This window comes from Homo sapiens, chromosome 6 (genome assembly GCF_000001405.40).
Source record: "Homo sapiens chromosome 6, GRCh38.p14 Primary Assembly".
In the NCBI taxonomy this organism is placed as follows: domain Eukaryota; kingdom Metazoa; phylum Chordata; class Mammalia; order Primates; family Hominidae; genus Homo; species Homo sapiens.
The window spans coordinates 150,942,662-150,964,921 of NC_000006.12; the positions used below are offsets into that span (position 1 = coordinate 150,942,662).

At 42.0% G+C, this 22,260-nt stretch overlaps 1 protein-coding gene across 30 annotated transcripts in view; it reads left to right on the forward strand.

The window, feature by feature from the left end:
• Window positions 1-22,260, forward strand: part of MTHFD1L (methylenetetrahydrofolate dehydrogenase (NADP+ dependent) 1 like) — a 236,186-nt gene that overhangs the window by 76,960 nt on the left and 136,966 nt on the right. For 29 of the 30 annotated variants that reach the window (NR_146719.2, NR_146720.2, NM_001242767.2 and 26 more), the window contains exons 14-18: window positions 1,825-1,932; window positions 2,806-2,880; window positions 6,370-6,472; window positions 13,334-13,410; window positions 17,614-17,754. Coding sequence is in view for 28 of the 30 variants with exons in the window: in NM_001242767.2 (NP_001229696.1) it covers window positions 1,825-1,932; window positions 2,806-2,880; window positions 6,370-6,472; window positions 13,334-13,410; window positions 17,614-17,754 (504 nt within the window). In the remaining 2 variants the exon portion in view is untranslated. Of the gene's footprint in view, window positions 1-1,824; window positions 1,933-2,805; window positions 2,881-6,369; window positions 6,473-13,333; window positions 13,411-16,495; window positions 17,537-17,613; window positions 17,755-22,260 lie in introns of those variants that run through there. The other variant, XM_005266911.6, reaches the window with a different exon arrangement.

Below are 22,260 nucleotides of genomic sequence, written 5' to 3' on the forward strand. Positions count from 1 at the left end.
GTGTAAGAGCTAAAGTATAAACTGTTACGATGTTATGATTCCAATATTTAAAAGTACAAATATATATTTATAAAATATATATACATATGTAATTTTTCATGTTTTCTCCAGTTAACATTATTTTATGTTATAAAGTAAAATTTTAACAAGAAAATATTTAACCTTCCAAGAAATTAAGGAAATGCAGCTTTAAAAAGAATAACACTTTCTCAACTATTAAATTATTTCTTAGTCTAAAAGTTACTTTATTTCTGAAGTAACTGATCTACTACTAGTGTTTTGCAGATGACACTTCATCTCTTTCAAAAAGCAATTTGGTGATATTATCAAGATCTCAAAGGCCGGATGTGGTGGCTCATGCCTGTAATCCCAGCACTTTGGGAGTCTGAGGTGGGCAGATCACAAGGTCAGGAGTTTGAGACCAGCCTGGCCAACATGGTGAAACCACATCTCTACTAAAAATACAAAAATTAACCAGGTGTGGTGGCAGGCGCCTATAGTCCCAGCTACTTGGGAGGCAGGAGAATCCCTTGAACCTGGGAGGCGGAGGTTGCATTGAGCTGAGATCATGCCACTGCACACCAGCCTAGGTGAAAGAGCGAAACTCCGTCTCAAAAAAAAATAAATAAAATAAAAATACTTCATCCCTTTCAAAAAGCAATTTGGTGATATTATCAAGATCCCAAGGGCTGGGCGTGGTGGCTCATGCCTGGAATCCTAGCACTTTGCGGGGCTGAAGCGAGAGGATCACTTGAGTCCAGGAATCTGAGACCAACCTGTGCAACATAGTGAGACTGTGTCTCTACAGAAAAAAAAAGAAAAAAAAGAAAAGAAAGAGAGCTCATTTAACCTAGTAACTACCTCCTGAAAATATATTACTCATTAGCAATTAATTTTTTTAATAAAAGGAAAAGCTATTTGTGTATATTCTTTATAACTGTGGCCTTTCTTGTAAAAGTGAACATTTGGTAGTAGCGTATATATCCAGCCTGAAACTTTTGGTACATCTACCGTATACAGCTTCTATAAACTATACAAAAGATTATTATAGAAAAAGTTTTGTGAAAAACGAAACTTGGAAGTTTGTAGGAAGATGATTCTACAAATGATAATCGAGTGTGCTCATGAGACTGGAAGGAAAATAACAGAATGAGTAGAGTCATGAGGGTAAAATACTCTATTTCTCCAAAGTTCTGTAATATTTCATATTATTTTATTGTTACTGTTTATTTTATGCCCTGCCTCACTCCAAAGTATATTTGATATGATACTGTTTTCTAGATAATAAAACAATGAATAAACGTAGTGAGTGACTATAAGGAGATTCATTATTAAATGCATCAGAATGTTTTGCCTTAACCTGAGGATGGAAGAATTTATGATCTGAGTAATTGCTCAAAGGTTCTTTGTTGTCACGTGGAAGGCTTTGACCTTGATTTTCTGATTTAGGCATTCCTATAGACTCAGCTCATTATAAGGATATGTAATTTGCATGCTATTTTATTTATTCAGTCCTTAAATTCCATAGTTGTTTAAAACAAATAGGAAGATGTCTTAGCCGAGCACAGTGGCCCAAGAGCTCATAACCAGCCTAGGCAACATAGCAAGACCCCCATCTCCACAGAAAATTCAAAAATTAGCCAGGCACAATGGTGTGCACCTATAGTCCCAGCCTACTCAGTAGGCTTAGGTGAGAGGATTGCTTGAGCCCAAGAGTTTGAGAATACAGTGAGCTATGATCATGCCACTGCACTCCAGCCTGGGCAACAAAGCGAGACCCTATTTCTGAAAATAAATAAATAGAAAGATATCTTATTTCTCTAGTTCAACCTTCACTTGACTGGAGACATCCACGCCATCACCGCTGCCAATAACTTGCTGGCTGCCGCCATCGACACGAGGATTCTTCATGAAAACACGCAAACAGATAAGGTGAGAAGGATGCCTTGCTAGCCATTTTGGGTATTGTATCCTGGAATTCCTGGATTCTTAAGGAGTTTGTGGAAAGAATTCTGGTGTCTGCAAACTCTGAAATGTTATTCAATTCAATTTTGTGATTTTTACATATGTCCCTGTTTCCCAAGGAGAAGGAGCCATCCTTTGATCAGATTCTCAAATGGGTTTATGAGCACTGCCAAGTTATTGGGAGAATTGTAGTATGTTGTAAAAGCCAAATATTCTCTAAGATGAGTCTTTAGTTTTAAAGATGGTAGGTAGACCAGTTCTCTTCATTCTGGTCATAGGTCCAATCTCTGATCTGTTCTAAGGGGATTGGACAGATGTCGTTTTAAGACTAATGTTATGTGGAGCTATTTTAGATGTGCTGAAAAGATGTCAGAGACCCTTATTGGGCTTCATGTGCTTGTAGGTTAAGAGTTAAACCACACCCCCAAAGGGGACAGCCCACCAGAAGCTAATTCCTCACAGATATAGGACATAGATAAAAGGGGTACCTTCTGGCACATTTTACAACAAGGGTCCTCACTTTCTTTAATTAAAGTAGTTCCTTAGTGAGTCTTTGCTACATAATCCAGATACATCTTCATATGGTAGTTGTAGCGATATAGATCAAGAAATATATTTATGCAAACTCTTTGCAATGTGTATTATTTCAGATCTTGTCAGTTTTATGAAAATGACAGAATTTAAGTCAACATTGTTTATATTAGCCCACAAATTTTAATAGGGTCTTTTATCTAAATAGTTCGGTTATAAATGCAATGAATTTTTGTCATATCCTGTGAATTGTCCAAGTTCATGGACAACTAACTTTTGTGTGGTCTCATTTTTGTTTTGTGTTTTTAGGCTCTGTATAATCGGCTGGTTCCTTTAGTGAATGGTGTCAGAGAATTTTCAGAAATTCAGCTTGCTCGGCTAAAAGTAAGTTTCCAGTTAGCAATTCTTTAAAAAGAAAATATCGTAGAAACGCATCAGAAAGATTGTCAAAGCCTGAAATTTTCAACTTGGTTTGATTTTGGTTTTCAGATATCCTTTTGGGTATTAAACTCTATAGAGACCGAACACTGGAGCAGAGAGAGCACAGTGTTGGAAGCCTGAACCCTGGTTCTACACGAAAGAGCCAGGTGGACAAATTAATTAACCTTTTTTGGTCTCAGTTTCTTCGTCTATGAAATGAGAGGACTGTTTTGCTAATTTATGAGTACTCTAGTCAACTGACAAGTTAGCTGGGCACAGGAGCACATACATACCTGTAGTCCGAGCTACTCATGATGCTGATGTGAGAGGTTTGCTTGAGCCAAGGAGTTCAAGGTTTATAGTGCACCATGATGGCCCCTGTGAATAGCCACTGCATGCCAGCCTGAGCAACACAGCAAGAGCCCATCTCTTAAAAAAAAATAACAAATTAGAATTTTTGGTGAGTCCTTCTCTTTCTAAAGTGAAATATTTTTATGAAATTTGTTAAATTTCTAGGAAATTATAGGATAACCTTTGAAAACTCATCTATCTCATTTGTGGTTTTCTGTTTTGTTTTGTTTTGTTTTTTGAGACAGAGTTTTACTCTTGTTGCCCAGGCTGGAGTGCAGTGGCATGATCTTGGCTCACTGCAACCTCTGCCTTCCTGGTTCAAGTGATTCTCCTGCCTCAGCCTCCCAAGTAGCTGTGATTACAGACACGCACCACCGCACCTGGCTAATTTTTGTATTTTCAGTACAGATGGGATTTCACCATGTTGGCCAGGCTGGTCTCAAACGCCTGACCTCAAGTGATCCATCCACCTTGGCCTCCCAAAGTGCTGGGATTACAGGTGTGAGCTACTGCGCCCAGCCTCATCTACGTTTTTGTTGCAGCAAACACTACAATTATACTTGCGTATGCCATCTTAATTCTTAAAACCTGTCTTATCTTTTTTCTGATGCCATTTGCTGCCTCTGGTCTTCTAATCATATTGCTTGCTACTAGCCCTGTTTCAGAGACTAAAAAATAACCCTAAATGGTATAACTTAACAACCTTACTGGTTGGTATTAAGTGGTTTTAAAAATTCACCTCCTGCCTCTTACTGAACCAAGTTCAGTGTGTTGAATTAGTGAGTAATTCCATCCTCGGCAGCTATAACAACATGCAGTTTCTGTTTCCCAGATCTTTTTTATGCTTCATTAAAAATCACTATTTTGCCAGGCACAGTGGCTCACGCCTGTAATCCCAGCACTTTGGGAGGCCGAGGCAGGCAGATCCTGAGGTCAGGAGATTGAGACCATCCTGGCTAACACGGTGAAACCCCATCTCTACTAAAAATACAAAAAATTAGCCGGGCGTGGTGGCAGGCGCCTGTAGTCCCAGCTTCTCGGGAGGCTGGGGCAGGAGAATGGCGTGAACCCAGGAGGCGGAGCTTGCAGTGAGCCGAGATCGTGCCATTGCACTCCAGCCTGGGCAACAGAGCAAGACTCCATCTCAAAAAAGAAAAAAAAAAAAGAAAAATCACTATTTTGTGTGTGTGTGACAGTCTTGCTCTGTTGCTCAGGCTGGAGTGCAATGGCACGATCTCGGCTCGCTGCAACCTCCGCCTCCTAGGTTCAAGCAGTTCTGCCTCGGCCTTCTGAGTAGCTGGGATTACAGGTGCCCACCACCATGCCAGCGAATTTTTTGTATTTTTAGTAGAGAAGGGGCTTCACCATGTTGGCCAGGCTGGTCTCGAACTCCTGACCTCAGGTGATCCACCTGCTTCAGCCTCCCAAAGTGCTGGGATTACAGGCATGAGCCACCACACCCAGCCAAAAATCACTTTCTTAAGATGTTTTATTTACACAAAATAAATAGGAAGATTTCTTGGCTTGGTGTGGTGGCTCACCCCTGTAATCTCAGCACTTTGGGAGGCCAAGACAAGAGGATTGCTTGAGCCCAGGAGTTCATGACCAGCCCAGGCAACATAGCAAGACCCCCGTCTCTACAAAAAATTTAAAAATTGGCTGGGCATTAAAAGTTTTAATTTTTTTTTTTCTCCTCCATAAATTAGGAATAACTTACTTTGAAACATAGGAATAAACTTAACTTGAATTACTGGTATTTGTATTTGAAAAACTAAAGAACTGCGGCATCAATTATATGGACAGACAGCAGTTTATGTCTCTTCTGAGCAGCGTACATGGTGGCCACATAGAGCAGCCCAAGGAGCCCCTGGCTAACGCAGCCAGCAGCAGGCACAAGTGGTAGTTAGCTGTATGCTGTCCACTGCAGGACATCTTCAGATCAATCCTTTTCAGAGTCTATTACGAACTCACAGTATCTTACTCGTAGAAGAAATCTGGCCATAGGTATTTGTCTGACTTGGCCTAACCTATAATTCACTCAAAGTTCAGTTTAGTTTAGTTTTTTTTTGTTTGTTTTTTGTTTTTTGTTTTTTTTTGAGACGGAGTTTCACTCTTGTTGCCCAGGCTGGAGTGCAATGGCGCAATCTTGGCTCACTGCAACTTCTGCCTCCCAGGTTAAAGCGATTCTCCTGCCTCAGCCTCCCAAGTAGCTGGGATTACAGGCATGTGCCACCACGCCAGGCTAATTTTGTATTTTTAGTAGAGACAGAGTTTCTCCATGTTGGTCAGGCTGGTCTCGAACTCCTGACCTCAGGTGATCTGCCCACCTCCGCCTCCCAAAGCGCTGGGATTACAGGCGTGAGCCACCACGCCCAGCTTAGTTTTGATTTTTGTTTTTTGGTTTTTTTGGAGACAGAGTCTTGCTCTGTCACTCAGGCTGGAGTGCAGTGGCAGGATCTCAGCTCATTGCAACCTCTGCCTCCCAGGTTCAAGTGATTCTTCTGCCTCAGCCTCCCAAGTAGCTGGGATTACAGGTGCTCTCCACCATACCTGGCTAATTTTTTTATGTATTTTTAGTAGAGACGGGGATTCACCATGTTGGCCAGTCTGGTCTCGAACTCCTGACCTTAGGTGATCCACCTGCCTCCACCTTCCAAAGTGCTGGGATTACGGGCATGAGCCACCGCACCTGGCCCAGTTTAGTGTTTTTTTTGTTTTGTTTTGTTTTTGAGATGGAGTTTCGCTCTTGTTGCCCAGGCTGGAGTGCAATGGCACGATTTTGGCTCACCGCAACCTCCGCCTCCCAGGTTACAGCGATTCTCCTGCCTCAGTTTCCCAAGTAGCTGGGATTACAGGCATGCGCCACCATGCCCAGCTAATTTTTGCATTTTTAGTAGAGATGGGGTTTCTCCATGTTGGTCAGGCTGGTCTCGAACTCCTGACCTCAGGTGATCTGCCCACCTTGGCTTCCCAAAGTGCCAGTTTAGTTTTTTAAAAGGCTTTACCAATCATGGAGAAAATAAAATTAGAGGGATAATTTTGGTGACCCTTTGCTTTCTGTTTCTTCTCAAACTTCTCACCTTTTTTCTTCTTAATCATTAGAAACTGGGAATAAATAAGACTGATCCGAGCACACTGACAGAAGAGGAAGTGAGTAAATTTGCCCGTCTCGACATCGACCCATCTACCATCACGTGGCAGAGAGGTGGGTGCTGGGGAGATGCCAGCAGGCTGATGGCCAGGTGGGGAGGCGTGTTCGAGCCGAAGCGCTTAAATTCAGAAACTTACAGTTTGATCCTGTCCAGTGATCTTCCCAGCCTGTGCTTCATATTCCCACCATTTATTTCAGTTACTATTATCGTACCACCCTCCCTTATCCTTGCCTCCAATTAAAACAAAAATTCTGTCCAGGGTCAATCCCATCTACTCCTGTGTCTTCTAAATTTCCAAGGAAAATTACCTAATTTTCTCTTCTGTTTCTCTCTCCTTTGGCCTCTTGTATCTATATTAAGAAAAAAAAAAAGAAACTTTTTTTAAAGACCACGCCTCCCTGGCTTTGTCCTGCTCCTCCTCCACCCACCATCCCACCTTCTTCTGTTCACTTCCTTACCACTGGCTCTCGGCAGCTCTCTGTGTGTTTCCAGTGCTGGATTTTCCTCCAAGTCTGATATGTGCTTTCACCCACTTAACGAGGCATCGCTCCACTGCTTCACATGCATCCAGGTGGAGTCCCCGTGAGCTCCCCACCACCTCGACTTCCCTGCTTCCCTCTCAGTTGTGAAGTCCCCTTCCTTCTCCCACACTGCCCTCAGTCTCATCGCTCACTATGGGATGAGACAGAGGGAAATGCACTAAACAGGAAGTTAGGAGCCCTGAGTGTGTGTCTCCCCTGCCACTGACTCACTGCATGATCTCGAGCAGGTCGCATGCATGTTCTTGGCGTTGGAGATGGAGATGGTCACATACGCTGCACAGAAACACGGCAACCACATTTTATGAACCCTGTGCAACTGCAGAAATGTTCAATGGCATGGATCCCTGATTCTTCCTGGATTATTCTTCTCATACTTGTGCCCTCATTTACCTCTTTATGCTCACATTTGGAACATATTTATCAGATGCGCATTTTATAGCAGTTCCCGACTAATAGATTATCTTGCTTCCGTTTCCATCCCCCAGTTCAGAGGGTTCACATTAACAGAGATATCCCGTTGTGATCAGAGGCCTCCAGTGGCTCCCCACATCCTGGGTGATACAGTTGCCATCGCAGAGCTTGGTCTTCAGGACACCCGCAGTGGCTTCCCTCACTCTGCTCCCTGCCTGCTTTCTAGTCAGCAGTGCCGACCTCCATCCTCCTGCCAGCCCTAGCTGGGCCATCTCCATCCTGTCTCCTGCCTAGGCCAGTGTTGCCCTCTAAGATGCACCCAGGTCTCGTCCCTTCAGGGAGCTTCCCTTCTGGGAATCCACCCAGCCAGTCCATTAAGAATTTAGTGTAGTCCCACAAACCATGAGGTAGAGAGACAAAGACCAGAGACTGAGCGTTGGCTCTGCGGTTTATGGGCTGCACAACTTTGGACAGACTGCTCACTCAGTTTCCTCATCTTTAAAATGGAATCATAATTCCAGCTGCCTTGCTGGGAGGCTTCACTGAAACATAAGCATCCTTTCCAGACCCAAAAGCTCTGCCCACACGATCATCAGAAGTCACTGTGGTGATAGCTGTATTGAGTAGAGTTTTTTGTTTGTTGTTATTTTGAGACAGAGTCTCACTTGCCCTGTCACCTAGGCTGAAGTGCAGTGGTGCGATCTAGGCTCACTGCAACCTCTGCATCACTGGCTCAGTCGATTCTCTTGCCTCATCCTTACGAGTAGCTGGGATTACAGGCACACACCACCACACGTGGCTAATTTTTGTATTTTACTAGAGATGGGGTTTCACCATGTTGGCCAGGCTGGTCTGGAACTCCTGACCTCAAACGATCCGCCCACCTCAGCCTCCCAAAGTGCTGGGATTACATGCGTGAGCCACTGTGCCTGGCTTGGGTAGTTTTTTTGAGTGTCTTTGTCTCCCAAACTAAACTAAAATCTCCTTGGAAACTTTATGGTTTTTTTTTTGTTTTTTTTTTGAGACAGGGCCTCATTCTGTCACCCAGGTTGGAGTGCAGTAGTGCAATCTCCACTCACTGCAAGCTCTGCCTCCCAGGCTCAAGCAATTCTCCTGCCTCAGCCTCCTGAGTAGCTGGAGGCTGTGCGCCACAACACTCAGCTAATTTTCGTATTTTTAGTAGAGATGGGGTTTCATCATGCTGCCCAGGCTGGTCTCAAACTCCTGAGCTCAGGTGATCTTCCTGCCTCGGCCTCCCAAAGTGCTGGGATTACAGACATGAACCACTGCACCCAGCCTAGAAACTTTCAAGGATACATTTTTCATTTTGAAATAAGTAATAACATTATAGAGATTTTGGAAATGTCTCAAAAGAATTTTAAAAACCTTGCTATACTAATAAAACTACTATTCATAGTTTTTTGTGTGCATCTAGTTTTTTGGTATAACTCTAGTTATAACTTTAGTGTATAGATTTTATATCCTACGAGTTTCATTCATTTATATCATAAGCATTTTGTATTTTGTTAGCTCTTTGTTGTAATGGCCATTTTAAATACTCTAGAATATTCCTTTGTGGATGAACCACAACTTACTTAAGCAAGGCTCAGTTCTTGAAAACACCAACAGCATTTTAAATAATGGACATGAATACTTTAAGCATTTTATTGAGAAGCCTACATATTTTCTTTGAAAATTTTTTTTATAACTAGGAAGATTTATTATTAAAATGTCATCATGTCCAAAATGTATTGTCATCTTTTTTTTTTTCAAAGCATTTGTGATTTTGTGTTACTCTTCAAAACTTTTTTGGAGGTTTACTGATGATAGGAAAATCAGGAAGGTGGAAATTAGTGTATTTTAAACCAAGCATATGGATGTGCTAAAAGAGAAAGTTTTATGCCAATTGGTATTCTTTGGTGTCTGCTTTGGGGTTCCAGCCTGAGCAGCCATCAGAAACAGGGCAATGGCTTAGACATGGATCTTGGAAGAGAAAGGCTACATCATCTTTTATACCTGGGTCTGGTCTGCAATTGGTTTCTCTCTGGAGCCAGGAAGGACTGAAGTGTTTTGTGGTTGTGAATCACTTTTAATGGAAGTGACAACTTTACAAAATTCTTCCGGAAAAAAATTTGAATTCCATTATTGTTCAGGGCACTGAAGTAAAGAAAACTTTATTGCTGTGGACAAGCTACCTGGGTCAGAGGAATTTGGAATGACATTTGATAAGTAGTTTGGCTCTTATGACCATGAATTAATAACAGAAATAGGACTCTTCATCAAAAGAATTGAGAACATTTGCTAGTAGGGTTTTTTGGCTTAAACCTAGAACTAATGTAACCCTTGTGATGAAATTGGATCCTTATTTGATTTGACAACTAGAGCAGGACAGTCAGGGTGCACGGTGGTGGGAGTGAGACCCTCTTCTCAGGCCATATGGATGTTGCGCCATTTAATGACCACCCCTTCCTTTCAGCCTGTGTACAAAATCTGATGATTGTTTCATCTTTTTTTTTGAGACAGAGTCTCACTCTCTTGCCAGGCTGGAGTGCAGTGTGCGATCTCGGCTCACCGCAACCTCCAACTCCCTGGATCAAGCAATTATCCTGCCTCAGCCTCCCGAGTAGCTGGGACTACAGGCATGCGCCACCATGCCCAGCTAATTTTTGTATTTTTAGTAGAGACGGGGTTTCATCGTGTTGGCCAGGATGGTCTCGATTTCCTGACCTCGTGATCCGCCTGCCTTGGCCTCCCGAAGTGCTGCGATTACAGGCGTGAGCCACCGCGTCCAGCAGATTGTTTCATCTTATGCCTCATACCGAAAGTTTAAAGGCCTCATGTTCCTGGACCCAGAGTGGAACAAGGAACCCACAGACCTTTCCAGAAATACTTAACATAAGCAGAAGAAAATATAGACATACAGCCATTTTGTTACAGAGCATAATTTTGCACAGATGAGCCTCTGCCTGTCCGAGCCCCGGGGCCTCACAGGCTTGCCGTCTCTCCATCTCCCTCGCATGCCCAACTCCTGGCCATGGACCAAGGGCCCACAAGCCTCCCTCAGCCTCAGGGAATCAACCATCAAGTGGCTGGTTCCTTGCCCCAACAACACTCTAGGGAATCAGTACCGTGTCTTCCACTGGGGCCGAAACAGTGGACCTGCCCCTGATTGAACACCTTGTACTGCCAGGCTCTTGGCCAATATTGGCTGTTTCATCAGCCATTAGGCATACTGTGGATGTTCCTTAGGACATAGTCAGCACTGTAGTATAGTCAGCACTGTAGTACTAAAAGGGATGGTCCAGAGCAAAAAATAAGCAAACAGATCTCCCCCGGCTGCCTCCACCCCCACACCCACTGGCATTGTCCTAGCATGCCTTACATAAGAGGCTGGCACTGTCTTCACTATATCTCTGTACAGCTGGCTCGGGACTAGGCACAAGTAGCCCCTCAATACATACTCCAGGAGTGAATAAGTGTTTCTTATTCCACCTTTAGTTCTATCATTCAGAGACCAGGAATTCCATTTTGGATCACTAACTTAGGGTTACTTTCTAGTATCTTTCTTGTGGGCTGGAATTTAACCTTCACATTTCTTATGTATCACTGATGCATCACTTACCGGGCCATGTTAAAGGCAGAGGTGGGCTTTGGAGGCCACTGATTCTAGTTGATCTTGCCAGACATTTTTTTTTCTTGTTTTCTCTTTGCTAGATAAAAAACAGCTGAATTTCTCTTGTTGATTTTAAAGAAATTTGATAAAAAGATTCCCTCAATCTGGTGCCAAGATCGTGTATACTACAGAGCAGGAAAGAGGTTTTTAGTTGATTGACTTTGCACCCCATGTACATCTTGGGAAGAACAGTGGTGGCTGAGGATACTATTGAAAAGCAGGCCTTTCATTTTGTATATGCTCTGCTTATAGCTGAAAAACTCATAAAGAAGGTTTCTGTGTGTTTATATGAGTGTCAGTTGGTGTTTGTGTGAGGGTGTGAGTGTGTCTGAGAGAGAGGGAGCTTGTTATAAAGACTAACAACAGCCGAGTCAGGGAACAGCCATAGGCCAAGAGGGCAAGCTGGCCTGCTGGTGCTTTGCGTATGAAAGAAAAGGTTAACTTTCTTCATCCTACGGATGCCTATAGTACCAAATACGTAATTTCCATCACCATTTTCATAAGTGCTGTATCGTATACATTGAGTAAAGTGGATCTAAATTGTCAATGTGGACAGCTTGTTATTTGAAGCTGCATAAATTAACAAAGTCAGTGTACTGGCTTTGTTTTGTTGCATTGGTATTCACTAAACCAAACCTAATTTTCACAAAATGTAAATAACTGCAATTCTTGTTTTGTTTTGTTTTGAGACAGGGTCTTGGCTGGGTGCAGTGGCTCACGCCAGTTATCCCAGCACTTTGGGAGGCCGAGGCAGGTGGATCACATGAGGTCAGGAGTTCAAGACCAGCCTGGCCAAAATGGCAAAACCCCATCTCTTCTAAAAATACAAAAAATTAGCCAGGCATGGTGGCAGGCGCCTGTAATCCCAGCTACTTGGGAGGCTGAGACAGGAGAATCGCTTGATCCCAGGAGGCGAAGGTTGTAGTGAGCCAAGATCACGCCACTGCACTCCAGCCTGCATGACAAAAAAAAAAAGAGAGACAAGGTCTCACTTCCATCTCCCAAATGGGAGTGCAGAGACACAATCATGGTCATTGCAGCCTCAACCCCCAAGACTCAAGCAATCCTCCCACCTCATTTTTGTATTCTTTGTAGAGACAAGGTCTCACTGTGTTGCCCAGGCTGTTCTCAAATTCCTAGGTGACCCTCCCGCCTCAGCCTCCCAAAGTGCTGGGAGGTGTGTGCCACCACACCCAGCCAATAACTGAAATTCTAATAAGCCAGTGAAGAAAATAAAGAGAACTGGTACTTGCTCTATTCACCATTCACCCCCGCCACCCCCCACAATTCTACTTTATTTACTTTTGCTTTTTAAAATTGTGGTAAAATATACATAACGAAATATTTTTCCCCATTTGTAAGCACACAATTCATGGCATTAAATACATTCACAATGATTGCACTATCATCACTATCTATACCCAGAACCTTTTCATTATCCCCAACAAAAACTCCTTATCCATTAAATAATTACTCCCCTCTTCTGCCCCTGCCTATTCTAGGTGCCTGATATAAGTGGACTCATATAGTACTTGCCTTTCTGTGTCTGGCATATTTCACTATGCACCATGTTTTCAACATCCATTCATGTATCAACATGACCTTCTTTTATAGCCGTCTAATATTCCATTGCCTGTCTGTGCCACATTTTGTTTATCCATTCACCTGTTGGTCGCTTCCTCCTTTTGACTATTTTGAATAGTGCTGCTATGAACATGGGTGTACAGATATCTGAGTGTCTCCTTTTGGTTCTTTCGGGTAATGCCAAGAAGGGAAGTTGCTGGTTGGGTTTTTTTTTTTTTTTTTTTTTTTAGAGGGGGTCTCACTCTGTCGCCCAGGCTGGAGTGCAGTGGTGCAATCTCAGCTCACTGCAACCTCCGCCTCCCAGGTTCAAGTAATTCTCCTGCCTCAGCCTCCTGAGTAGCTGGGACTACAGGCACACACAACCATGCCTGGCAAATTTTTATATTTTTAGTAGAGATGGGGTTTCACCATGTTGGCCAGGCTGGTCTGGAACTCCTGACCTCAAACGATCCACCCACCTCAGCCTCCCAAAGTGCTGGGATTACAGGCGTGAGCCACTGTGCTTGGCCTCTAGTGGATTTTTTTGTTTGTTTGTTGTTTATTTGATTCTTTCTCTATGTCTACCCACTAGATGGTCAGCTTGGGGGAGCCTGACCTTTTCTCTTTCACCCTCTGCAACTTCCTGAGCATCAGAACAATGCCAGACACACACCAGGTGGCTGGTCCATATTTGTCGACTGAATGACTAATCTGTTCTCTTTCAGTATTGGATACAAATGACCGATTTCTACGAAAAATAACCATCGGGCAGGGAAACACAGAGAAGGGCCATTACCGGCAGGTAGGTGGTGCTTTCTTCCCGGGTGTGGCTCTGTTCTTACGTTCATTTCTACTGGCCTGGGAGCTCACTCTTTGCCTTTCTTGTCTCATCCCCAACCTGTTGTGGCCAGTGGTTCTCTCACTGTTTTGGGTGCTCAGCAGGGCTGGGAGAGGATCAGAAGACATAGAGGCTCCAGTGTCTTTTTACCATCTTTTCTATGTATGTTTATTTCATTTTCTTTTTTTCATGTATGTTTCCAATTGTGTTTCCAGGAAGAGCCACTCAGGGTATTCTTTGAATATAAATTCTCACTTATTTTATTGGGAACCATCCAGGTAATACTACATCTGCATAACTGATAAATGAAAATCTCAGACACATTACTCAAATTTCATATATCAAAGAACAAACACCTAGTTATTAGACTTAATAGCATGAGGATTTTTTAAAGGATAATGGCTTATTAATACAAAAATGGCTTATTAATAAAATACAGAGAATGCAGAAGAAAAATTATGTCTGACTTCATTGTAATAGATATTGGATGTGCGTCAATGGCACTTAGGGAATACAAATTAATTCCTATGATTTTTCATCCAGGCACAGTGGGCTTCTAAATTGTGTTGTGTTTTTTTTTCTTTTGAATTGATTATAAACTGTACATTTAAGAACAGTTTTAGATTTCTGTCCTTTATGTTAAGTTTTTATTAGTGAAAAAAGAGTCACCTTACTATAATAACCAATCCTTACGCCAAATAGACTTGTGACCTTTTGAAGTGTCTTGAATTAAAAAGTGAATGTAGGTATTGGATTAAGAAGAGAAACTTAAGTTCGTGGACCTCGTCTCCTCCCAGTCCTGTAACTTACACACACACACACAAACAGATTTCAAATATCCATGCTAGCAAACTGGAATCATTGCCATGAAGTTTTAGATAGTTCTGAAAAATAGGAAGATGGAATTAGATTGATGATTAAAAGGACAGCCCAAAATATGGTGGACTTCCATCCTTAACAAGCATTCTTGCTTTTCATGTTCTTAGCCTCTCCTGCTAAAGTGGGAGCTTTATAAAAGCAGAGGTTATTCCCCTTTTTATTTGCTGCTGTGTTCCCTATGTTCAGAACAGAACTTTGTTACATATAGTCGTAAGTGTTCAGTAAATATCTGTTGAACAAATGAGTAGAATAAGTAAAAGACAATTTATGGATACAGAACTAAAATGCCAACATAAAAAGATGTTCATGAATAATCATAAAACTGCAAATTGAAACAATGGAGTATCATTTACCTAGGAGCTTGTCAAGTGAAAATAGTAGGTACTAAATGCTAGTGAGGATGCAATGAAATGGGGGCATTTATGCAGCGTTAGTGGGAGTAGAAATCCTTTTTGGATGAGTTTGTTATTACTAAAATTTGAAATGACCCAACAATTACAACTTTGGAACTAAAAATATTTTAATGAAAAGAACAAGAAAATGTGTAACGTACAGGAAAAAATTCTGTGTATTAGGATATTTGTTGTGCCATTATTTGCAGCGGTGAAAATTGGAAACAATCCAAATGTCCAACAGTAGAGATGGTTGCATATATTTGGTCCGCCATTTTGTCCCATGGGAGAGTTGAAATTAATAAATGTGCGTATGGGTGTCTTGACATGAGTAGAGAGCTCTCATACACCATTGGAAAGGTTGTAAAAACCATTTTAAAACTTTGAAGTAAAATACTGATATTGTAAACCTGTTTATGTTAAGAAAAACCCAGCGTGTTTACTTACATTATAGGCACTTACAACTTATTTGTGTATATAAGTGCCTAGAATGAAAAGTAGAAAGATGTATGCCAACTGTTGGCATTAGTTGCCTGTGTAATAAAAGCGAGTATTGAAAAGGCCCTTTCTCTGCATAGTTTTTTACTGTTTAGGTACTGGAGAGATGGAAGATTCACAGTGGCCTTGATTTCAGTGCCTACTCTGTGCATTGTATTGATAGTTCCATTACATATATTAGCACAGTTCATTTGTAAAGCTGATTTGCAAATGAGGAAATTGGGATGTTATGTTAAAAAAACTTGCCCAAGGTTATATCTTGTGTTGCTTCGTGCATAGATATTTTTAAGTAAAAAGGGGTTATAGTGTATTTAAGAGCTTTAACTGCTTTTTATTTATCATAAGACTGTAGTGAAGACATCTTTTTATGTCGATAAAGGTAGACCTGTATCTTCATTTTTAATGACCACATCATATCTCATAGAGGTACCATAGTAGATTCAGCCATTTCCCTGTTAATGAACATGTAGAGTGTTTGCAGTTTCAGGCTATCACAAGTAAGCTGTAGTAAGTATACACATATATTTGTGTGTATACTTGATACTATCCTTAGGATATTATTCCAGATGTGTGATTGCAGAGTCCAAGAGGATACAAATTTCCAATGTTGACATATGTTTTGACATTAACTTCCAGGAAATTCATACCAATTCACATCCTTGCCAATATCCCATATTGGCCTTTGTTTAAATGTGTGCTAAATCCCTCATTTGCCCTATCGTGATTATTACACATTGCATACCTGTATCAGAATAGTTCATGCAATCCACAAATATATACACCTACTATATACCTAAAAAAATGAAAAGGTAAATACTAAATCAATAAATGTGTGATAAGCTGATGAACAATAACGTTTTCATTGGCATCTTTATATGATTTTGAAATATTTTATTTGCAAAACAGAAATGAGCAGCCTTCCGCTATGCACGTCATTTAGTCATTAAAGTGAATGACAGTGATACTTTAATTGACCCAGTGTGTTTCATTTTTTTTATGCTCAAGATGTGAAATTTTGTAATTGTAACAATTACAAATGAAGAGCTTGAATATCGATTATATATTATTCTTATTTACACAGCTAATATTTCAAGAATGTTTCTAGTCTCATGTTTTGTACAGAAAATCTCCATATTTTTTAGTCATTTTCTCATATGCACTGTTTATAATAGAATGGTAGTATAGAGAACCCTAAATTTCATACAATGAAAGACCACTTATGTTTGGAATGAGTTATATTGAGAATGTAATAATTGAATATAGTTGTATTTGACTTTCAGGTAATATTTTTTCACTAAATCAGTGACTAATGCAATCTCAACCAGGAAGTAGCCAGAAAGCTCCTTATTTCCTTCCTTTCCTTACTTGTCAGTGATGGAAATGGATAATAAAATGTCTCATAAGGTGATCCCACCAGGGCACAGCCATTCTCTCTCTGCGTAAGCTTGAACTTGTCTGGCTCACACTCCCCTTGGGAAGAAGAGAATTAAGCTGGGGCGTAATGAAGTGGTTCTGTCCAGAGAAACATTCCTAGTGGCTGAATTATGAGGAGGAGGAAGTACACATTCCTGTGTCCCTTTTATTCCATGTTGGACTTCGTACAACGTGGAGCCACAGCCAAGAGATGGGAATAGGAAGTCCTAGAACTTTTTGCAAAAAGTCTGTGCTCTCTAGCTTTCACTACTGAAAGCTTCAAGATCTGATGTGGCCATATCCTCCTGGGCAGCTGAAAATTGAGTCTGTGCCACCAGTTGACTGGGTTGCCCTCCCTGCTGTGTTGAGATCCAGCTCTGGGAAAGTAGCCTCACATGCAGGAAGCCAGCATCTTTCACTGCCCCTTATCTCTGTGCCAGACAGACAATGCAGCCTTCTTGACAGACCTATTACTAACAAGGGAGGTGGCCCGTAGGCTAGTCATTAATTCATCTGATGCATATTGTATGCCTACTGGGTCTCATGCTCCGTGCTGGGGATTCAGAAGTGAACCTGCCTAATATAGTCCCTGCCGTCATGGCACTTACGGTCCAGTGGTAGACTGATAATGACCACACTAGACTGATAATGACATTAGTAATCAATTAAGTCTGAGACATGCTACAACAGCAAACCATGTGGTAGTGCTGTGAGCGGGTGTAACAGGGGTCCTAACTCAGCCCACCCTTTGCTGAGCAGAGCATGGCAAAGAGCACATTCCGCCTGGGAGGCCACCCTAGGGAGCACCAGGCACAAACCCTGCATGGTCCAGACACGCAGAAAACTGATGGGATTGCATGCATGGCCTTTTGAGGGTAGACTCTCTGGGCCTGTGGTTGCTTCATGGCTGAAGTCCAGCTCCTTGTGGGAATGGCCATCCCACTGGCACTGTCGCTGACCACTACCTGTGTTTGGGCTGGTTCAGGCGCAGTTTGACATCGCAGTGGCCAGCGAGATCATGGCGGTGCTGGCCCTGACGGACAGCCTCGCAGACATGAAGGCACGGCTGGGAAGGATGGTGGTGGCCAGTGACAAAAGCGGGCAGCCTGTGACAGCAGATGATTTGGTGAGTGTTTCCAACTCGGAAGCTTCAGGGAGTGGACGGTCCTCGTTCTTCGTTACCAGAAAAAGAAAGGTTTTCTTCCTTTTATCAGTGAGTGTAATGAGGATACAGAAAAAGTTTCCACACACACATTTCTTCCCCGACAAGCATGTTTGCCTAACTGCTTCCTAATGTTCTCATAGTCATATATGACGTGCTTATGCCTGGCTGCAACAAAAACATGTGAAATTTATTTCAGGAGCTTTCCACCATCCTTGCCAATCCTGATCTCTGCTTCTGCCTGGGCTGGGGAGGAGTCACCCCCCTGCAGTCACTTGGTGACTTTTAAAAAATGTACCTTCTATGCCTGCCTGAAATTGAGGGCAAATCACCTTTCCAAGGAACAGAAGGAAGTGGCTCTGCTTCCATGAACAGGAAGATAAAGTTAAAATTGGCACATTTCTGGCACCAGCCTGGCTTATTATTTAATTTGGGGCCTTAGATTTGGGTTTTGTATTATAAAAGCAAATCTCTGCCTCAATCAGTCTTGCTTTTCTAGTTCCCCTTTGAGTAGTTGTGGTGCTTTCTGTAAAGCTTCCATGGAACACCATTTCCTTTTTTAGTGCTTTTTCTAATTGGCATGCTAGTCTTCTTTTCTTCTTCGTCTTTCTGGTATAATAACAACCTTTCCTGTTAACTTTTTTTTTTTTTTTTTTTTTTCTGAGACAGTCTGGCTCTGTTGCCCAGGCTGGAGTGCAATGGCACGATCTCAGCTCACTGCAGCCCCTGCCTCCCGGATTCAAGCGATTCTCCTGCCTCCGCCTCCTGAGTAGCTGAGATTACAGGCGCACGCCACCACGCCCAGTTAATTTTTGTATTTTTAGTAGAGATGGGGTTTCACCAGGTTGTCCAGGCTGGTCTCGAACTCCTGACCTCAGGTGATCCACCCAACTTGGCCTCCCAAAATGCTGGGATTACAGGCATGAGCCACCACACCTGGCCTTTTCCAGTTAACTTAAACTCCACATATTCCATAGGTGTTTTGTTTGCTTGCATTTTTGTATATAAGTGCATGGGTGTGGACACAGGCCTCTAAGATAGCCATTACTCCAAATTTAAGTTTACTTTCCCATATACTGAATCTCCTACAATAATGGAACTTAAAATGCACACTGGTGATTGGTAAGCAGTTGTGAACAGAGAGAGGCAAAGTCATATTTTATTAATTTCAAGGGCTTAGGGTATAATTTGAATTCTTTTTCAAAGTGTCCGGATTGTTTTTCAGCTGCTTTTGAAGAAATGAATCTAACTCATCTCAGAAGTCTTGTCAAGTAAATTCAATAGATCAACGTATGTCGCAGCCTATGGAATACTTAGTATAAAAATTGAAGAGAAAACCCTCAGGTTGCTATAAAAGTGCTGCTTTATTAAAATTACCAAAATCTCACTATTTCTATCTAAACTGACATACTACAGTTTCTGTCTAAATACATTGCTCTGTATTTTATTAATTTGTATGGCAATAAATATGTGTCAGGAACAGTTTTAAAACTTAATCCTCAAATACTGCTTCCTTAAATCTATTTATTTATTTTTATTTATTTATTTTGTTTTTGAGATGGAGTTTCGCTCTTGTTGCCCAGGCTGGAGTACAATGCCGTGATCTTGGCTCACTGCAACCTCTGCCTCCCAGATTCAAGTGATTCTCCTGCCTCAGCCTCCCAAGTAGCTGGGATTATGGGTGCCCACTGCCACACCCGGCTAATTTTTGTATTTTTAGTAGAGATGGGGTTTCACCATTTTGGCCAGGCTGGTCTCGAACTCCTCAGGTGATCTGCCCACCTCGACCTCCCAAAGTGCTGGGATTGCAGGCATGAGCCACCACACCCAGCCCTTAAATGTATTTTTGTGTGAGTGTATGATAAAAATCTTGGATCTGGAACAAACCCAAAGATTACTCTTTTTAGTTACCTTTTTAAATAAACTCTTTATTTATCTTTTTAATAAACTCTTTTTAGTTATCTTTTGTGTTTCTTGTTTGCAAAAAGTAACTAATTTATTAAATTGTGCTTCATCCAGTGGGAGCTATTGAGAGTTGGCCACCCATAGAAAATTGAGGGAGGATTTTAGGAACTGCTGAAGGTTTCTGCCACATGCATGATTCTGATATACCCTGGAAGAATCCATCTGAGCCTTCCCCACATGGACACAGAGTGTGGAATGCTAGCAGCACACAGAGGGTGGCAGAGCTTGCCCTGCACGTGACAGCACAGGCGCTGAGATGTGTCCCAGAAAAATGAGCAGGTAGAAGCCTACCTGAGACATCCAACAGAAACATCCCTCTTAACTTCCTTCCTCCTTTAGTGTTTTGAATCAGTTTATTTGGTTGGGAAGTGTAAGCAAGGATAGTGTACAGAGAAGTAGGAAAACTACTCCTCTTCTTCCACCTGCTCTGCATTAGCACAACAGGACAACTCTCACTGAGCCTTCCTGTCCTGAAGATTTCTTTTTTCTTTTCTTTTCTTTTTTTTTTTTTTTTTTTGAGATGGAGTCTTGCTCTATTGCCCAGGCTGGAATGCAATGGTGCAATCTAAGCTCACTGCAACCTCCAACTCCCAGGTTCAAGTGATTCTCCTGCCTCAGCCTCTCGAGTTGCTGGGATGACAGGCACCTGCCACCATGCCTGGCTAATTTTTGTATTTTTAGTAGAGATGGGGTTTTGCTATGTTGGCCAGGCTGGTCTCGAACTCCTGACCCCAGGTGATCCACCCGCCTTGGCCTCCCAACGTGTTGGGATTACAGGTGTGTGCCACCATGCCCAGCCTGTCCTGCAGCTTTCAAAGTGAACCATCTTCGTGTATGTATAATGAGTGGGTTGCATTCATATCATGTGTGTTTTATACACTGAGGTAGATTCCAGTTACGTAGGAATATAGTTAGTAATAGTGTATTCCTGAAAATTGCTAAGAGTGGTTATAAAGTATTCTCACCACCAAAATGATAACTGTGAGGTAATGCATATGTTAATTAACTAGGTTTAATCATTCCACAGCATATACTTCAAAACATCATGTTATACACAATAAATACATACAGTTTTATCTGTCAATTTGAAGTTAAGGAAGAAAATAGATTGGATTTTCTTACACCTTTTAAATGATTAAATATTATAAAAATAGAAACCAATCACATGAGAGAAACATTTACTACTGTTGTTGATAAAAGTACGGGGAGAATGTAACGCACTTTAGAGTGAGGAAGATTCTCTGGATTCTACCACTGCATCTGTTAGCGCCATGGCATACTGTGGTAAAATGGCACTGTTTTCCGATGCTATGTACAGCAAGGGATAGCGCCCTGTTTTCCCCCCCTAGAGCTACCGTTACAAGCATTTGCTTATGTTATAGCCTTCCAATAACTAATATGTTGAAAACACCAAGACACCACTTAAGGTCTTTACAAAGTGAGAAGGAATTGGGAAAAAAAGAAACAAAGGCCGGGCACGGTGGCTCACGCCTGTAATGCTAGCACTTTGAGAGGCCGAGGCAGGCAGATCATGAAGTCAGGAGTTCGCGACCAGCCTGGCCAATATGGTGAAACCCCATCTCTGCTAAAAATACAAAAAAAATTAGCCGTGTGTGGTGGTGCATGCCTGTAGTCCCAGCTACTGGGGAGGCTGAGGCAGAAGAATCGCTTGAACCCTGGAGGCAGAGGTTGCAGTGAGCCTCCAGCCTGGGCAACAGAGAGAGATTCCGTTCTCAAAAAAAGAAAGAAAAGAATGTGAATATTGACATCACATTAAAAAATAATAACAAACTTTAGCCTTGTGGCCTTTTTTTGGCACATGTTTTCCGCTAGTTCTCATGCATCATCCCTATTCTCTCTCTTCTCTGTCTTTTCTTCATCCAGGAACAGAGAAAGAGGACTTAGAAGGAACTCAACCCAGTACTTCCTAGGATTGGAAGGAAGCTGCCTTATTTCATGTATAAGTGGCACCAGCTTGACTGTAGGAAGAGAGATAGCGTGAAGCCTTTCACATCTAAACTAGAAAGCTTTTAAACGTGGTAGTTTGTTGAGTTATTCTCTCTCTGTGGAATGAATGATGTAGAGATGGTGAGAAATCAGAGTGGGTGATTTTAGACATTTCCCTTTACCCTACTTCATTCCTGCTCTGTACAGAGCCTTGTTTCTGTTCTTCACCTTATTTCTTTGAGCAAGAGTAAAGCCTCTGATTATGAAAATACACTGTGCATAAATAGCCAGAAAACACATTTTCTTGCAATGAAAGATTTGTTTTATGGAAAATCTCATAAACACCATCAAGGAAGGTTTTGGAAGAAGGTCAAATGTCCTTCAAAATGCTATTACCCCATCACCATTCACATCTTAGTGTGACTGACATCCGTTCTCAGCTCTGGTGGGGAGAGGTGGACAGAGACAGCAGCACTGTCCCCTGTGGCCCAGGGTTGCCTGTGGGGACGCCCACCCAAGAAGCAGGCTGGAGAGAAGTGCCAAGGGGTTAACCATTGC